The sequence below is a fragment of the Homo sapiens genome, chromosome 17 (genome assembly GCF_000001405.40).
Source record: "Homo sapiens chromosome 17, GRCh38.p14 Primary Assembly".
Taxonomy (NCBI): Eukaryota; Metazoa; Chordata; class Mammalia; order Primates; family Hominidae; genus Homo; species Homo sapiens.
This window is the reverse complement of record NC_000017.11, coordinates 7,756,361-7,774,278: the sequence shown is the minus strand read 5'-3', so window position 1 is coordinate 7,774,278 and position 17,918 is coordinate 7,756,361. Positions and strand designations below refer to the sequence as shown.

At 48.3% G+C, this 17,918-nt stretch overlaps 1 protein-coding gene across 10 annotated transcripts in view; it reads right to left on the bottom strand.

The window, feature by feature from the left end:
- The window catches only part of DNAH2 (dynein axonemal heavy chain 2), a 115,999-nt gene that overhangs the window by 59,464 nt on the left and 38,617 nt on the right, over positions 1–17,918 (bottom strand). For all 10 annotated transcript variants that reach the window (NM_020877.5, XM_047435424.1, XM_011523667.3 and 7 more), the window contains 16 exons: positions 17,042–17,188; positions 15,628–15,784; positions 15,155–15,394; positions 14,669–14,857; positions 14,341–14,488; positions 13,347–13,539; positions 10,248–10,448; positions 10,006–10,162; positions 8,714–8,888; positions 7,798–7,961; positions 6,218–6,379; positions 6,012–6,115; positions 3,871–4,027; positions 3,640–3,722; positions 3,346–3,526; positions 2,811–2,949 (listed from right to left, as the gene is read on the bottom strand). In NM_020877.5, coding sequence (NP_065928.2) covers positions 2,811–2,949; positions 3,346–3,526; positions 3,640–3,722; positions 3,871–4,027; positions 6,012–6,115; positions 6,218–6,379; positions 7,798–7,961; positions 8,714–8,888; positions 10,006–10,162; positions 10,248–10,448; positions 13,347–13,539; positions 14,341–14,488; positions 14,669–14,857; positions 15,155–15,394; positions 15,628–15,784; positions 17,042–17,188 — 2,597 coding nt within the window. The remainder of the gene's footprint in view (positions 1–2,810; positions 2,950–3,345; positions 3,527–3,639; positions 3,723–3,870; positions 4,028–6,011; positions 6,116–6,217; positions 6,380–7,797; positions 7,962–8,713; positions 8,889–10,005; positions 10,163–10,247; positions 10,449–13,346; positions 13,540–14,340; positions 14,489–14,668; positions 14,858–15,154; positions 15,395–15,627; positions 15,785–17,041; positions 17,189–17,918) is intronic.

The following is a 17,918-nucleotide window of genomic DNA, read 5'->3' as shown; positions in this document are numbered from 1 at the left end:
CCCGTGAGTCACTTAGTAGCCCTCTCGGTTATCAGATCGACTGTTGCGACATCACAGCAGTGCCTGTGTTCAAGTGACCCTAATGTCACTTAATAATGTAAGCAAAAGTGCAAGAGTAGTGATGCTGCCAATTCAGATACACCAAAGAGAAGCCGTAAAGTGCTTCCATAAACAGCTTCCTTCCTTTAAGTGAAAAGGTGAAAGTTCTCAACTGAGTTTGCTGAGATCTACAGTAAGAATGAATCTTCTGGCCTGGCACAGTGGCTCATGCCTGTAATCCCAATACTTTGGGAGGCTGAGGTGGGTGGATCACTTGAGGTCAGGAGTTCAAGACCAGCCTGGCCACCATGGTAAAATCCCATCTCTACTAAAAATACAAAAATTAGCCAGGCGTGGTGGCGGGTGCCTGTAATCCAAGCTACTCGGGAGGCTGAGGCAGGAGAATTGCTTAAACCCAGAAGGCAGAAGTTGCAGTGAGCCGAGATTGTGCCACCGCACTCCAGCCTGGGCGACAGAGCGAGACTCCGTCTCAAAAAAAAAAAGAAGAAAAACAGAATATGAATCTTCTATCTGTGAAACTGCGACGAAGGAAAAAGAAATTCATGATAGTTTTGCTGTCACACCTCAAACTGCAAAAGTTACAGCCTCAGTGCGTAATAAGTGCTTAGTTAAGATGGAAAGAGCATTGAATTTATGGGAGGGAGACACGAACAGAAACATGTTCTGATTGATGGCAATTGGGTTCACTACTATCTGAGGTGTCAGGCATCTACTGGGGGGTCTTGGAACATATCCCCAGTGGGTGGGGGGGACACTGTATAACACACCCACCTAAGAACTTGGGGGTCCGTCTTCCTAGATTTCCCATAGGCAAAAAAGAAAAGAAGGGCTGGAGGAAGAACTTGGGGATCCACTGGCCAACCCAAGAGCTTCTGAAAAGTAGAGATTACCCTCCACTTACACAATCTAGCAAGCTAAATAATTTTATTTAGATACATGGCATGTGCACACAGTGAAAGAAATCTGCAAGGACTGGGGTTGCCAATGTCCTTCATGTCATAGCAGAAAGAGTCCCAGAGCAGGCGGCAGAAGACCCCCAATCAGATAGTAGTTCTTTCACTTACTGTCATGTCAATTCACCTCACTGAGTTTTGACCTTTTTGTGTACAAAATGGCAATAAAATCCATCTCAAAAACCAACGTGAGGCTGGGTGTGGTGGCTCATGCCTATAATCCCAGCACTTTGGGAGGCCGAGGTGGGTGGATCACTTGAGGTCAGGAGTTCGAGACCAGCCTGACCAACATGGTGAAACACCGTCTCTACTAAAAAAATACAAACTTAGCTGGGTGTGGTGGCACACGCCTGTAGTCCCAGCTACTTGGGAGGCTGAGGCAGGAGAATTGCTTGAACCGGGAGGTGGAGGTTGTGGTGACCTTAGATCATTCCATTGCACTCCAGCCTGGGCAACGAGAGCAAAACTCCGTCTTAAAAAACAAACAAACAAACAAACAAACAAACAAACAAAAAACCAATGTGAGTAGTAATTGAAATGTATTCACATCAGTAGCTTCTCAATAATGTTAGTTTCCTCCCAGCCTACAGCCCCATACCTCAGGCCTTGATTGATTTTCCCCTTGTCTTCCCAGTTCCTAGCTTTCTGAAGAAAGGAGGGACACTAGTGAGTGTGAACTCAGAGGTGACCCTCATGCCTTCAAGCACAGGGTCTACAGGCTGTTGGATCCTTTGAGTCAAACCTGAGTGACCCCTGGAGATCACAGGCATGCTCAGTAGCCGTGGACAAGATGGATTTGTTCTGTGCATTCAACAAAGGGATCATTGTTTTTTTGGCTTTGCTTATAAATTGTTACGGAATATAATTCTGTCAATTATTTCAAATAGTATCAGTTGTTGTCATTCAACTTTGCATACCATAACTTTTCATGTTTATCTTTTATCAGAATAATTAAAATTATTTTTATTGATGTGTATACTGAAGGCTCTTGGGAAAATGAAGCACTGTTAAGACTAGCCCTAGGTAAAATAAAGAGGTCCTCTGCACCCCCACCAGAATTCTTCTGCACAGGATGCCCATTCTAGGTGCCCGCTGTCAAACCTGACTCCCTGATTGTCTACCCCAGTCTCCCCCAGTCGACCAGGCCTCACTATGTGTTCATCTTGCCGTGTGTTCATCCCTTTCTTCCCCATACCCTACCCCATCCCATGGCTGAAGGCTAGTTAATCTGCTAAAAGAAAGTCAACGTAGGCTGGGCTCAGTGTCCCACACCTGTAATCCCAGAACTTTGGGAGGCTGAGGGAGGTGAATCACCTGAGGTCAAGAGTTCAAGGCAGCCTGGCCAACTTGGTGAAACGCCATCTCTACTAAAAATAAAAAAATTAGCCAGAGGTAGTGGCACACGCTTGTATTCCCAGCTACTTGGGAGGCTGAAGCAGGAGAATCATTTGAACCCGGGAGGCAGAGATTGCAGTGAGCCGAGATCGCACCACTGCACTCCAGCCTGGGCAATGTGCAAAACTCTGTCTCAAAAAAAAAATTTTTTTTAATAAATAAATAAACTCATCTGACTGATTCCATATCCCATGCTCTTAACCACTACATTATTATACTCCACTCAAATATTTGTTGAGTTTAATTTACAGAATTATGATCTAATGCTTAGAAGAGGTGATGGAGATGGGAAATGTTAGGAGAGCTGGGGGCATCAGTCTTTTTAATAAATGAAGCACGCAACCATGACCAAGCAGAGTGCCTGCCGAGGCTGTGTCAGGGCAGGAGCCCTGGAGCTCTGACCTGGGTGATGGGTGCTCCGGAGAGCATTGTTGTCCTTGTTCATCCTGTCCATGATGGCTTTCCAGTTGCTGTTGACCTGGTCAAATAAGGTCGATTCATTGGGCAGCTGCTTGCGGATGTCTTCTCCTAGGAAGATATTCTGAGGGGGCCAAAAGTTGGGGTGAGAGGCCACTTCTTACACACTCTCCACCCTCTGCTCCCTGTTCCCAGATTGTGGGTGACAGTTGGGTAGAAGATACAGAGTGCTAGAAGTCAAAGGCCAAGATGCCCAAGTTCTACAAGGAAAGCTGGAGGTAGGGGGCCAGCTACCTGGGTCTAAGAAGAAAAATGGAAGAAAAATCTGAGAAGAACAAAAACTTGTTACGGAGGGAATCTAAGGTGAGAGGTAATAACTAAGAATCAGACAGCTGGGTCCTAGATGAAGAGTGACTTTAAAGGTAGGAGAATGAGGCTGATAACAGGGCAAAATCTAGGTCTTAAGAAAAAGAAGGAGTAAGAGCAGGAAGCAGGAAGAGCTCAGGCGCTGAGTCCTGACCTCTAAGTACATCCACTGACGCTGCACTGTGAGAATCATCTCAATAACCTCCAAAATGAGGGAGAGGCAGCGTTCCCAGTGGTCCACATCCTTCTCAAAGGCCTTGACAAAGCGTGATGCCTTCATGGTAGACAGAGCTACCTGGTTATCTTCCAGTGCCTGGAATACTTCTTCTGTACCTCTGAGACACAAGGGGTCAAAATCATAGTTCATCCCCACCTGCCCAACCTTGGTCCCACTCTGCAGCCTGGGTCACACAGCCCTCCATTCTCCTAGAGCCCCAGCTCCCCTGACCTGAGCCGATGATGGCCCTTATCCTTGTAGGGTACTATGTCGAGCTGAGTCACATCCCAGGTCTTGGCAATGTTTTGTAAAGCCTGTGGAGAGAAATTGGGGGACACAGCAGTCAGGTATCTCTTCACTAAGGGGAACAGGAGCTGAGAGGCGCCATCAGATGATGAACAGCTGGAGCCTGTGCTCCAGGAGGCGCAGGAGGTGTGGGAGCATGGGAGGGGACTGTCGTACCACTTCTATAGCCAGCTCTTTAGTTGCTGAAGCAGAGATCTCCCCAATTTTCTCCACATGCTGATCCATCCCAAGCTCCACAATCTGCTCCAAGGTGAAGCTTTCAGATTCCTGATCAAACTCCCGCTGGATCTCATCCCGGACCTGGTCCCAGTGCCTGCAGCCAGGAACAGGAGGGTGTGAGGTCAGGAGAGTTACCATCACTCCATTGCTGTCTCCCACTGGGACACTATGATTCTGCATAGTTACCAATTCATGATTCAACTCATTTTGCTAAACAGGCTCGAAGATGCAATCTTAGGCACCAGGGGAATACGAAGATTGAGGTGAAACCCTCCAGGAGTGGATTCTCTGGAGAGGAAGTTAAGGCAGGTGTGCCCACAAAACACACAATGAATCACCGCAGGTTTACTCTAGAACTGTACTGAGTAAAGGCCTTACATGAAACATCTCATATCATTCTCACGGCTACTCTATAAATTAGGAATTATTATTATTCCATTTACAGATGAGAAAACTGAGGCTTAGAGAGGTTAAATAATGTAAGCAAATAAAGTGGTTAGGTTATACATAACCGTATAACACTTAATGGTTTGGCATTGCCAAAAACGTTATACTGGAAGAAAGACAAAGAAGTAAAATTATTTTCTCTTAAATGGATAGATCATGATTGAAACACCATTTATAAAAATTACTTTATTTTTATAAATCTATCCCCAATGGTTTGAGATACATCCTCTGCCATATAATAAATTCCAGATGAATTAAAAGAGTTAAACCTGAGAAACACAAAGCATTAGAGGAAAGAATGAAGAGGATGTATTTGTAACTTTGGGATAGGAAAGGTCTTCCTAAACAAGGCACAAAGGCAAAAACCATACAGAAAGAAAGTTATACTTCTGGCTACCTCAAAATAAAATCTTTTGTATAACAAAAGACATAAGGCGGGACGGGCACGGTGGCTCATGCCTGTAATCCCAGCACTTTGGGAGGCCAAGGCGAGCGGATCACTTGAGGCCAGGAGTTCAAGACCATCTTGGGCAACATGGCAAAACCCCATCTCTACTAAAAATACAAAAATTAGCAGAGCATGGTGGCAGGTGCCTGTAATCCCAGCTACTTGGGAGGCTGAGGCACAAGAATTGCTTGAACCCGCGAGGTGAAGGTTACAGTGAGCCGAGATCACAGCACTGCACCCCAGCCAGGGCAACAGAGTGAGACTTTGTCTCCCCCACAAAAAAAGGAAAAAAAAAGACATAAGACTTAGTCATGATAGACAACTCCCTTTCAGAGAGAGGGAGGCCCCAGGGCAGGGGTCAGAGAACAAGAAGCCAGCAAGGCTGGATGACCCGAGACAGTGCAAGAAGCAGAGGACAGTGGCAGGCTTGGTGTCTGCGCCACATGTTCGCTGAGCACTATTTGCAATAGCTAAGATGTGGAATCACCCTAAGTGTCCATCAAGCGATGAATGGAGGATGAAAATGTGGTGTATATATACAAAGAAATACTCTTCAGCCTCAGGAAAGAAGAAAATCCTGTCATTTGCAACAACATGGAAGAACCTGGAGGACATTATGCTAAGCGAAATAAGCCAGGCGAAGAAAGACAAACACCGCATGATCGCACTCATATGTCATATGTAAAGTCTGAACAGGTTGAACTCACAGAAGCAGAGTCGAGTGCTGGTTACCAGGGGCTGGGGGTGGTAGGTGGAAAGTTCGGGAGGTGTTGGTCAAAGGACACAAAATTTCAGTTAGACAAGAGGGATGATCTCCTGTACATCACGGCAACAATGGTTAATAACAATCTATTGTATACTTGAAAATCACTGAGAGTAGCTTTTCAGTACTCTCACTACAAAAAATAGGTATGTGAGGTAATGCATATGATAATTAGCTCAATTTAGCCATTCTACAATGTGTACATATTTCAAAACATTATGCTGTACACCAAAGTGTATGCAATTTTCATGCGTCCATCAAAATTAAATGTTAAAAAGAGGAAAGAGAAAAAGACATACATTTGTGGACAGAGGGGAAGAGAGGGCTGTGAACACTGCGGAGAGGAGAATGGGAGGGACCAAGTGGTGGCGCAGGCCAGCGGGGCAGAGTGGACACCCCGGAGCAGAGGAGAAGCCTCACCTCTCTCTAAGGGCAGGGTTCCGCAGGTCTGAGATGAGAGGCATGGTCCTCTTGAACTGCTCTATTTTTGAGCGAGTGGTTTCAATAATTTCCCAGTTTCGGTCCTGAGCAAAAGTTGGGGGCATGAGAAGACCCGACGACCTCCCTGGGAACAGACCCAGATCCTCCACCAGCTTCTCTTCCGCCTCCCCGCCGTTTCTCCCCACCTTATACTCTTTGGCTAATTTTGTGAGGCGACGAAACAGCCCGTGGGCCGTGGTCTCCATGGTTTCCGTCTGCAGGATCAGGAACCGGCCAGTCTTCCACTCATTCCAGTTCTCCTCCCAGTCTCGTGCGATCTCCCAGATTTGCTGGAGGGCATCGAGCTCCTACAGGGCAGAAAGGCGCGTTGCATGAAGTGGCACCTGCCCTCTTCCTCCCTGACGGACGCCCAGGCCCTTCGCTGCTCTCGCTCTGTGAAGCTTCCCCTCTAGATAATACAGCGGCCTCCTCAGTCCACATATTTTTCTCCACTCTGTTGCCTTAAGAGCTTATCAAGGAACAAGCACATGAAAAAATCCTCAATGTCATGAGTCATTAGGGAAATGCAAATCAAAACCTCAGTGGGATGCCACTTCACACCCGCTAGGATGGCTAGAACCAAAAAAAAAAAAAAAAAGGTAAATAAGTGTTGGCACGGAGATATGGAGAAATAGGGAGACTTGTACACTGCTAGTGGGAATGTGAAACGGTGCAGCTGCTGTGGAAAATGGCTTGGCAGCTCCTCAAAAAGTTAAACATAGAGTTTCCATATGATCTAGCAATTCCACCCCTAGGCTTACACTCACAAGAATAGGGAACAGGTGTTCAGACAAATACAAGTACACGCGTGTTCATGGCAGCACTACTCCCTTTAGCTAAAAGGTGGAAACAACCCAAATGTCCATCAACTGGTGAATGGTAAACAAAATGTGGTAAACTCATGCGATATTCAAATATGAATATTCAGCCATTTAAAAAAGTACTGATCCATGCCACACCATGGATGAACCTTGAAGACATTATGCTAAGCGAAAGAAGCCAGATTAAAAAGGCCACGTATTATCATACAAATGGTTCCATTTGTATGAAGTGTCCAGAATAGGGGAATCATACACATGGAAAACAGGCTCATAACAGACTGGGGCGGGGGACGGGGGACTGGGGCGGGGGACGGGGGATGCACGTGACTGCTAATGGGCAGAGTTTCCTTTAGGGTAATAAAAATGTTTGGGAATTAGATAGATGTGGTATGAATTACTAAACGTCACGAATTGTTTACTTCAAAATGGTTAATTTTGGCAGGGCGTGGTGGCTCACACCTGTAATCCTAGCACTTTGGGAGGTCGAGCCAGGTGGATCACCTGAGGTCAGGAGTTCGAGACCAGTCTGGACAATATGGTGAAACCCCATCTCTATACTAAAAATATAAAAATTAGCCATGCATAGTGGTGGATGCTTGTAATCCCAGCTACTCGGGAGTGTGAGGCATGAGAATCGCTTGAACCCGGGAGGCAGAGGTTATAGTGAGCCGAGATTGTGCCACTGCACTCCAGCCTGGGTGAGAGAGCAAGACTCTATCTCAAAAAAAAAAAAAAAAAAAAAAAAAGGATTAATTTTGTTGTATGAATTTTACCTCAACTGAAACAAACAAAAGCTCCTTGTGAGCTCCTCTCCCTTCCCACTGCCTTTGTGGGCGCTAAGGACCCATTCTCCTGTCCCTGCCCCTTATCGACAGTGACCACAGGGTCCTTGCTCAGCACACCACCTTCTCCAGGTTCTGAAGGTCCTTGGAGGGTGGCTGCTCGATCTTGAAGATGCCCAGGTTGGCTCGGAGACTATTTTCCTCTTCCCGCATGGCCATCAGCATGGCCCGCACTTGTGTAATCTGGTCTAAGGCAGACATGTATCCCACGTTGCTGGTGAAATGGCCTGTGGAGGATTCAGGATGAAGCTCAGCTTCCCGCTCACGTCTGGCAAGGACAGCCATGGCTCTCCTATCTCTTTGTGGGCAAATCTCACCTCTCTCCTCACGTGAGAGAGGGAAGGGAAGGAGAGTAAGAGGGAACGCGTTGAAAGAATAACGGTTAATCTTAGCAAAAACTCCTAAATGTGGCTTGAGAGTCAGGAACAGATGGAATATGGAAGTCGGGATAAGAAAAGTAGAAATGCGGGCCGGGCGCGGTGGCTCACACCTGTAATTCCAGTACTTTGGGAGGCCGAGGCAGGCAGATCACAAGGTCAAGAGATCAAGACCATCCTCGCCAACATGGTAAAACCCTGTCTGTACTAAAAATACAAAAATTAGCCGGGTGTGGTGGCATGTGCCTGTAGTCCCAGCTACTCGGGGAGGCTGAGGCAGGAGAATCGTTTGAACCTGGGAGGCGGAGGTTGCAGTGAGCTGAGATCGAGCCACTGCACTCCAGCCTGGTGACAGAGCGAGATTCCATCTCAAAAAAAAAAAGAAAAAAGAAAAGTAGAAATGCTGTGAGCTGCGCCGCTGTCTACCCAAAACGAGAGCCACTGAGTGTCCTCCTCCTTTGCTCCTGAGTGGAGGCTCTTCCCCCACCCCAGCACCGACCCTCCTCCTCCCCTCCCAGTTCTCGCCTTCCCAGGACCTGGGCTTGGAAGGCGGGGTCTCTAAACAAAGGCTAAAGAAGCGGGAGAGGTGGATCAAGGAGTACCTTTGAATTCGAAATCTTCCAGAAGTGTATGTGCTTTCTTCTTGAAGTCATCTGCCGAGTGGATCAGGCCTGTCTTGAATTTCTCCTTGTGTTTCTTCAGCATTTGCTTACTGTCCAGCAGAGTTTGTTGGAAGACAACCCACTCCCCGTTGAGACTGTCCAGCATCTCCAGGACCTGGGGGAGTCAGAGAGTGGAGGATGACCAGGAGCAGGAGGTCTGCCCTCTCATGCGTGGAGGATGACCAGGAGCAGGAGGTCTGCCCTCTCATGAGTGGAGGATGACCAGGAGCAGGAGGTCTGCCCTCTCATGAGTGGAGGATGACCAGGAGCAGGAGGTCTGCCCTCTCATGCGTGGAGGATGACCAGGAGCAGGAGGTCTGCCCTCTCATGAAAGTTTTTAAGGACTCTTTTCTGATCCTCCAGACCAGAGTCTGGGGACGAGTTTTGCACATGTGACAAGGGCTAAAAAAATCAAGGTGTGAGTTTGCCAGGCCTAAAAGAAACCCTGGCCGGGTGTGGTGGCTCACGCCTGTGATCCCAGCACTTTGGGAGGCCAAGGTGGGAGGATCACTTGAGGTGCCTGTAGTCCCAGCTACTCAGGAGGCTGAGGTGGGAGGATCGCTTGAGCCCAGGAAGTTGAGGCTGCAGTGAGCCATGATTGCACCACTGCACTCCAGCCTGGGTAATGGATGGAGGCCCTGTCTCAAAAAAAAAAAAAAAAAAAATCCAAAAGCTGTATATCTGAGAATGAGGCCAAAACCAAAAAAAAAAAAAAAAAAAAAAGTAAATACAGTAAGTAAATCCAGCTGGGTGCGGTGGCTCACACCTGTAATCCCAGCACTTTGGGAGGCCGAGGTCAGCAGATTGCTTGAGTTCAGGAGTTTAAGACCAGCCTGGGCAACAAAATGAGACCCCCATCCCTACAAAAAATACAAAAATCAGCAAGGCGTGGTGGCGTGTGCCTGTGTTCCCAGCTACTTGGGAGGCTGAAGTAGGAGAATCACTTGAGCCTGGGAGGCAGAGGTTGCAGTAGGCCAAGATCGTGCCACTGCACTCCAGCCTGGGTGACAGAGCCAGACTCTGTTTAAAAAAAAAAAAAAGAGGAAGAAGAAGAGGAAAAGAAAAGAAATCCAGAAGCTAAGTAAAGGTATCATTTGAGCTAGCTTTGGCTTTCAAATCTAGAGTCTCCTCCTGCTGTCACTTCTCTACTCTCCCCGAGGACAGCCAAGGGCCTCCCCCGCAATCTGCTGCTGATACGGGTCCCAGGTAAACCAAACACCAAAGGAACTCACACTGTCCTCGACTGGCACCTCGTACTTTTCAAGAATGGCAAATTGCTCGTGTATGGGAGGGATCTGAGTCTCCACGTTGGCCAAGTCGTGCTTCAGGGCATCCACGAGCTGCAAGCTGACCCCCAGTTCCTCCAGTGTCTGCGGAGGGCGGCTGATTCTGAAGGCGGGCAAAGGGAGTGCTAGTGAGTGGAAGGCCCAGTGCCTGCCCCTGCCCCCTTCCTGTGGGGCGCCCCAGCCCGCACTTCTCTGCGTTCTCCTTCAGGTAGGTGTGCAGCTCCAGGAGGCGCCCAGCAGCCATCTCCCTGAGCAGAGTCGCGAACTTGTTCTGCCATTCATTGCAGTGCTGCACCAGGGAGAACTTGAGGTGCGAACAGTCCAGCAGCACAAACTGGATGTTGGTGACTGTCTCCTCCTTCTGCACGTTATTAGCAACTTCCGTGTAGCTGCAAGAGCCCCAGATCCCAGCTAGGATGTTGTTTTCTTTGCAGACATACCCTCTGTCCCCACACGGGCTGCAGGTCTCATTTCCTTCCACCCAAACCTGGGCAGCAGTTCTAGAGTGTTCTTCTACTCCCAGGCATCCCTCATTCCAATCTGCCCCAGCCATGCAGCTGTGACTGACTGTCATTTTCCCAGTCACTGGCTATAAGATAGCAGTCAAACTTCTTATTCTGGCATTCAAAGCTCTAGAGTGAGGCAGGGTGCGATGGCTCACGCCTGTAATCCCAGCACTTTGGGAGGCCGAGGCAGGTGAATCACGAGGTCAGGAGTTCAAGACCAGCCTAGCCAACATGGTGAAACCTTATCTCTACTAAAAATACAAAAATTGGCCAGGCACAGTGGCTCACGCCTGTAATCCTAGCACTTTGGGAGGCCGAGGCCGGCAGATCACGAGGTCAGGAGATCGAGACCACGGTGAAACCCCATCTCTACTAAAAATACAAAAAATTAGCCAAGTGCGGTGGCAGGCGCCTGTAGTCCCAGCTACTTGGGAGGCTGAGGCAGGAGAATGGCTTGAAACTGGGAGGCGGAGCTTGCAGTAAGCCGAGATCGCGCCACTGCACTCCAGCCTGGGCGACAGAGCAAGACTCTGTCTCAAAAAGAATAAATAAATAAATAAATATACAAAAATTAGCTGGGTGTGGTGGCGGGCACCTGTAATCCCAGCTACTGGGGAGGCTGAGGCAGAAGAATCACTTGAACCCGGGAGGCGGAGGCTGCAGTGAGCCAAGATGGCGCCACTGCACTCCAGCCTGGGTGACAGGGTGAGACTCTGTCTCAATAAAAAAAAAAAGCTTTAGAGTGGCACAGATCTGGGTTGAATTTGCCCTGTGCTGCTTCCTAGTTCTATGACCTCAGGCAGGTTTTTTTTTTTTTTTTAACTGTTTGAGTCTCGGTTTCCTCATCTGTAATACAGTGACAGTAACAGAGCCTGCCTCACAAGGTGGTTGGGAGAATTCACTTGGCTGCTACAGCGCCCCTTTGTGTTCTTCCTTTCCTGTGCCTATGTTGCAGATCTCACTCTGTGGGGTGAACGTGCTCATGGACTCACATCTTTATGCCTTTGCTCATGCTATTTCCTCCACATGGAATGCCTTCCCCACTGCCCATCTCTGCCTGTTGAAATCCTATGCAAAGTCGGCCGGGCTTGGTGGCTCAGGCCCGTAATCCCAGCACTTTGGGAGGCCAAGGCAGGTGGATCATGAGGTCAGGAGATTGAGACCATCCTGGCTAACACGATGAAACCCCATCTCTACTAAAAATACAAAAATTAGCTGGGCGTGGTGGCGGGCACCCGTAGTCCCAGCTACTCGGGAGGCTGAGGCAGGAGAATGGCATGAATCCGGGAGGCGGAGCTTGCGGTGAGCAGAGATGGCGCCATTGCACTCCAGCATGGGCGACAGAGTGAGACTCCGTCTCAAAAAAAAAAAAAAAAAAAAAAGAAATCCTACGCAAAGTCCCTTCCTCCAGGAAGCCTTCCCTAAAATCCCCAGCTGGAAATCCTCTGTCCTTCCATTGAACTGCCCTGGCGTGTGATATCCCTTCATCACAGTATTTACCACAGTGCAGCTGTGTAATAACACAGTACACGAGCACAGGGCTTCAGCCTACAAAGTGCCTTCATGTATCTTTAATCATTTCACAAGGTTCCAAGGTAGGTAGTGTAATATCTGTTTCATAGAAAACTGAGGCCCAGAGAATACAGAAAACCTGCCTAAAGTCACACAGCTACTAAGTGGCACAGCTGCGATTCCAAGTCTTCTCGTGACACCACGGCCACCACTCTTTCAGCGATACTTTTATCTTCCTTACTACTCTAGAGCCCTCAGGAGGAAAGAACTTGCTCATTTCTTTTTTTTTTTTTTCTTAACTCCTCATGGCCCATACAATGAATGTTTATGGAATGAATGTTTACAGAATGAATGAATGAATGACCAGAGGCCCATAAAAAGATGTGAGTTAAGATCAGAAATTAAGATCTTCTTCTAGGCCAGGCATAATGGCTTACGCCTATAATCCCAGCACTGAGGGAGGCTAAGGTGGGTGGATGACTTGAGGTCAGGAGTTTGAGACCAGCCTGGCCAACATGGTGAAACCCTGTCTCTACTAAAAATACAAAAATTAGCCAGGCGTGGTGGTGAATGCCTGTAATCCCAGCTACTCGGGAGGCTGAGGCAGGAGAATTGCTTGAACCCGGGAGGCAGAGGTTGCACTGCACTCCAGCGTGGATGACAGAGTGAGACTCTGTCTCAAAAAAAAATATTTGAAAAAAAAAAAAAGATTTTCTTCCTGAGTGGGCAACATAGAATCTCTACAAAAAATTTTAAAAAAAAGAAAATTATTCAAGCATGGTGGCATGTGCCTGTGGTCCCAGCTACTCAGGAGCGTTAGCCAGGAGGATCGCTTGAGCCCAGGAGGTCCAGGCCGCAGTGAGCTATGACCACACCACTGCACTCCAGCCTAGGCAATGACAGAGCAAGATCCTGTCTCAAACAAAATAAAACAAACAAAATAATCTTCTATTTAACTCCCATCTGCCTTCTTAGAATCAAAGGGCTCACTTCTTTCATCTTCCAGATCTCTGGAACTTCTTCTTTCTCACCAGGCCCTGCCATCCTCCCCTAGACAACTGCTTTTCACCTAAATCCTGTCCAGCTCTTCCCTGATCTCTACCCCTTGAGAAGCAAAGGTCCAATGTCCTAGGTCCTGTTCTTTTCCTGTCATTGAGGACACATGTCATCCTCAGCTCCCCTACCCACTTCCCAAGACTCTAGGCCTGGGCTCCTCCTGCAGTGCTGTGCCTCCTACAGACAGACTTTCAATCCACCCTCACCACTCACCGGGCAATGTCGGCAACAAAAGAAGAGACAGGAGGGTTGAGGCGCTGGTAGCGATGAATGAAGGAGTCCTTGTTGATCTCCCAGATCTCCCGGTACATGTCCCAGGTCTTGAGGTAGTTCTGCAGCAGGCTTGCGTTGTTAGTCATGCCGCTGCTGATTTGGGTCTGGATCTTCTTGATGTCCTCATCTTGCTCTTCAAAGGACCAAGAAAGATGCTTCTCACTGACTTCCACCCCAACCCAACTTCTGCCTGAGCCCTGCCCACTGCTCCAGACCTTCCACTCTAAAACCAGCTTCCCAGAGAAATACAGCTCAAACATGCACATTAGAAGGTAAAGGAGTAGGCAGAAAGTGAAAATGTGACTCTTAGTGTCTCCTTCATAGGATGTGATGTCTTGTCTGTTGGTATCTAGGCCTCTTACAGGCCAGTCCCAGTCCCAGTCCCAAGCTTGTCTTTCCTCATCTCCCATCCCAAATCCCAAAACCCATGAGCATCAGTCACCTAATCTCAACCCCCATCCAAGCCCCTGCTCCCTTCCCCAGTCTGGCCCCCCTGTTTTTGTTTTTTTTTTTAGATGGAGTCTCACTCTGTCACCCAGGCTGGAATGCAGTGGCATGATCTCCGCTCACTGCAACCTCCGCCTCCGGGGTGATTCTTTGCCTCAGCCTCCTGAGTAGTTGGGATTATAGGCACCCGCCACCATGCCTGGCTAATTTTTGGATTTTTAGTAGAGATGGGGTTTTGCCATGTTGGCCAGGCTAGTCTCGAACTCCTGACCTCAAATGACCTGCCTGCCTCAGCCTCCCAAAGTGCTGGGATTACAGGCACAAGCCACTGTGCCAGCCGATCTGGCCCCTTGACCTGAGTTTTCCCCAGGTCAGGGAGGTGACTGGCCCAGTATGCCTGGAAATAGCCCTGGTCTCTCCTCCTGGCCTGGCCCACTCGACAGCCTCTGAAACCCTGTGCCTTGTGCCCTCCCCGTTGCCCACTCACCCACAACTGTTTGGATGGGTTCACGATGTAACTTGCGCTTGGTGAGAATGTCAGGGAGGTGGCAGAAGACAGAGATGGTGGAAAAGAGGTGGTTGCCAATGTCATTGACCACACCTGCCAAAGTCTGCAGAGTGGGTGAGAATTCCACCTGTGAGGAACCCAGTGGAGATGGAGAGAAAAGCCTTAGGACTGGGAAGGTCACACACTTCAGCAGCAGGTCTGAAGGCCATAGGATAAAGTCAAGGCCAAGGACCAAGTTTAGGAATTAAGGGAAACTGACAAATAAGATGCAATGGTTTTGAGATGTTGGGGGCAAAGTGGTTCTTACCTGTGCCACACTTCCTTGCAGATCATTCTTCAAAATGACAAGGACTTGGAAGAGTGGGTTTGGGCTGGTCTTTCCATCCCCGTTGATAGCCTTGGATAGTTCTAGCAGTGACCACTTCACATTCAGGCGCAGGGCATCCTCCATCATGCGGTCCAGCCGAATCATGTACAGCATCCACTGCTGCTGAATCTGATGGGATGGAGGGAGGAAAAAGAGAACTTTTCAGGGAAGACAGGGCACATCCTGGGAAGTGAGAACCAGCCAACAGGGAAGGAAACAAGTTGGTTTAATGGAAACGCAGGACGCTGAGTCCTGGAGGAAGAGGTGTGAGGACTGAAGGTTGGCTGAGTCCAAGACTAGAGCACGATGTTTGAGAAGTACACACTGGTAAAAAAGAAAAAAGGGTCGGGGAGCAAGAGAATGGCCTGATGGAACTGGGGGACTGTGGTTTTTCCAACCACAACATCCTGGCCACAGGAACCCTACCTCAGGACCATCATTCTTGAAGACCTCATAGGAGTTGGTCATGATGGTCACCACATCCTGGTGCAGGTTCATCAATTTCTGCTGTACAGCTGCCCGATGCTCTCTTTGGTCCTCTTCAAATTCCAGGTCCCTGTATACCCGTTTGCCACTAATGCGTACCAGCAGCTTCTCTGACATCTCTTGGGCTCGCCAGCCAATGGTCAGAGTGGATGCCTTGAACTCATTCACAATCATCTGCACCTAGAGTCAGGCCCCGTCATGGGGGAGTTTCAGCTCGGGAAGAGACCATCTGGACCTCATTCTACCCTCCCACTTGTTCTCCAGCTAGACTGGATGACACACAAAAAAGTCCTTCCCCAAGCAAACTTAATTCTTTTTACACTACCCCCAGGTTTCCCAATCTCTATGCAACACTCAGGTATAAATGACCCATCAGCCTTGCAGACCTTTAGGGTCTAAGGACCATGGCCCACCTTGCTGGCATGTATACGGCACTCCGTGATGAAGAAGGCACTGGCCCCCTTCAAGGCCCAGTGCAGTTTCTTGAGTCCCGGGTGGATCTTCTTATCCAGGAGCCGAATACGCTCTTTGAATAGGGCCTGCTCATCTGGGGACAGCATGGCAATAATCCTGTGCATAAGAGAGGCCTGGTATCCAGAGGGGACAAGCCCTGAAGATCTTTCCTCCACTTCAGGAAACAGTGGAGAAATGTGAACATTTCTAGACCACTAGTCTAGATTCTAGACTAGATTCTAGACTAGTACTTCCAAAAGAACTTTTTGCAATGATGGAAGTGTTCTCTTAGGTTGGTGCAAAAGTGATTGCCATTTAAGTAATGGCAACAACTGCAATCACTTTGCACCAACTTAATGCGATGTGTGCTGTCCAATATAGCACCCACTCATCACATTTGGCTATGGAGCATTTGAAATGTGGCCTGTACCAATGAGTAATCAAATTTTTAAGTTTATTTACTTAATTTACATGGAAATAGCCACATGCAGCTGGAGGCCACCATGTTGGACACTGCAGTTCTAGACACCCAAACAAGACTGCTGGTTGCACCTCCTTGGACTTTAACTGGGCTGAGAAATTTCCTGCTATCGTCTGAATGTGTGTGTCCCCACCAAATTTATATGTTAAAATCCCCACTCCCACAGTGATGGTGTTAGGACCTCTGGGAGGTGATTAGGTCATGAAGGTGGAGCCCTCATGAATGGAATTAGTGGCTTCATAAAAGAGGCCTAAGAGAGCTCCCTTGTCTCCTTCCACTATGTGAGGACAGAGCAAGAAGATAGCCACCTATGAACCAGGACGCAGGCCCTCACCAGACACCAAATCTGCTGGTGCCTTGCTCTTGGACTCACCAGCCCCCAGAACTGTGAGAAATAAATGTTTGTTGTTTATAAGCCACCCGGTCTATGGCATTTTGTTATAGAAGCCCAAACAGACTAAGACAGTACCTAACCCAGAACAAAGCCTCACTCCAGAGAGAATACCAAGGCAGTCCAGAAACTGAGGCAGGGATGGGGGCAGCAGGGCCTTAGTTCAATGAGTCTGATGTTATTCTGTGCACATAATCCTAATGCCAGCCCGTCTCATTCCTAGAGAACTGGCCCAGAGCTACAATATATATGGTACAAGTGACCAGTGGGGTGGGAGGGGACCTGGTTGGCTTTACTCTCCACCCTGCAGCTAGAAAATAAAACTACAAGGGGTAGGAATAATGATAGGGCCGTAAGAGTGGGAGACAATTTTTTTTTTTTGAGATGGAAAAGATGTAGAGGACAGAAATTGTAGAAAATGAACAACATTACAGGGCAGATAAGAGAAAAAGAAGGAATAAAATAGCATCTTGAAGGGCTGCAGTGAGGACTGAAGCCCTACCTATTGTAGTCTCTAGCAACGAGTAGCAGATTTTCACGCAGAATGCGCAGGTCCTCGGCTCGCTCAGCTACGTTCACCACGTAATGGGGCGTCTCAAACAGCAGCCGCTCCCAGTAGTCAATTTCCGCAAAGAGAATCAGAAGGGACCTTTGAGAGAGAGCAGCCAGGCAGTGAGGGGACCGCACGAGGGGATAAACTAGAGCAACAATCGAACAGGTGGAGAGGCTGGGAAGCACAGGGAAATGTCGAGATGAGAAATGAAGCAGAGGCCTGGTATGGTGGCTCACGCCTGTAATCCCAGCACTTTGTGGGGCCGAGGCAGGCGGATCACTTGAGCTCAGGAGTTTGAGACCAGTCTGGCCAACACGGGGGAATCCCATCTCTACAAAAAATACAAAAATTAGCCGGGCGCAGTGGCGTGCGCCTGTAATCCCAGCTACTCAGGAGAATGAGGCACAAGAATCGCTTAAGCCTGGGAGGCAGAAGTTGCAGTGAGCTGAGATCGCACCACTGCACTCCACAGAGCAAGACCCTGTCTCTAAAACAATAATCATTATAAATAGATAGAAATAATAGAAAATATCCCATTAATAATTTTTATATTGATTGATGTTGGAATGATATTTGGGGAATGTTGGATCAAGTATTAAAATGAATTTCACTGGGGCCAGGCACAGTGGCTCACACCTAATCCTAGCACTTTGGGAGGCTGAGGTAGGTGATCGCTTGAGCTCAGGAGTTTGAGACCAGCCTGGGCAACATAGTGAGACCCCCATCTCTACAAAAAATCAAAAATTAGCCAGGCATGGTAGTGTGAGCCTATAGTCCCAGCTACTCTGGAGGCTAAGCTGGGAGGATTGCTTGAGCCCGGGAGGTG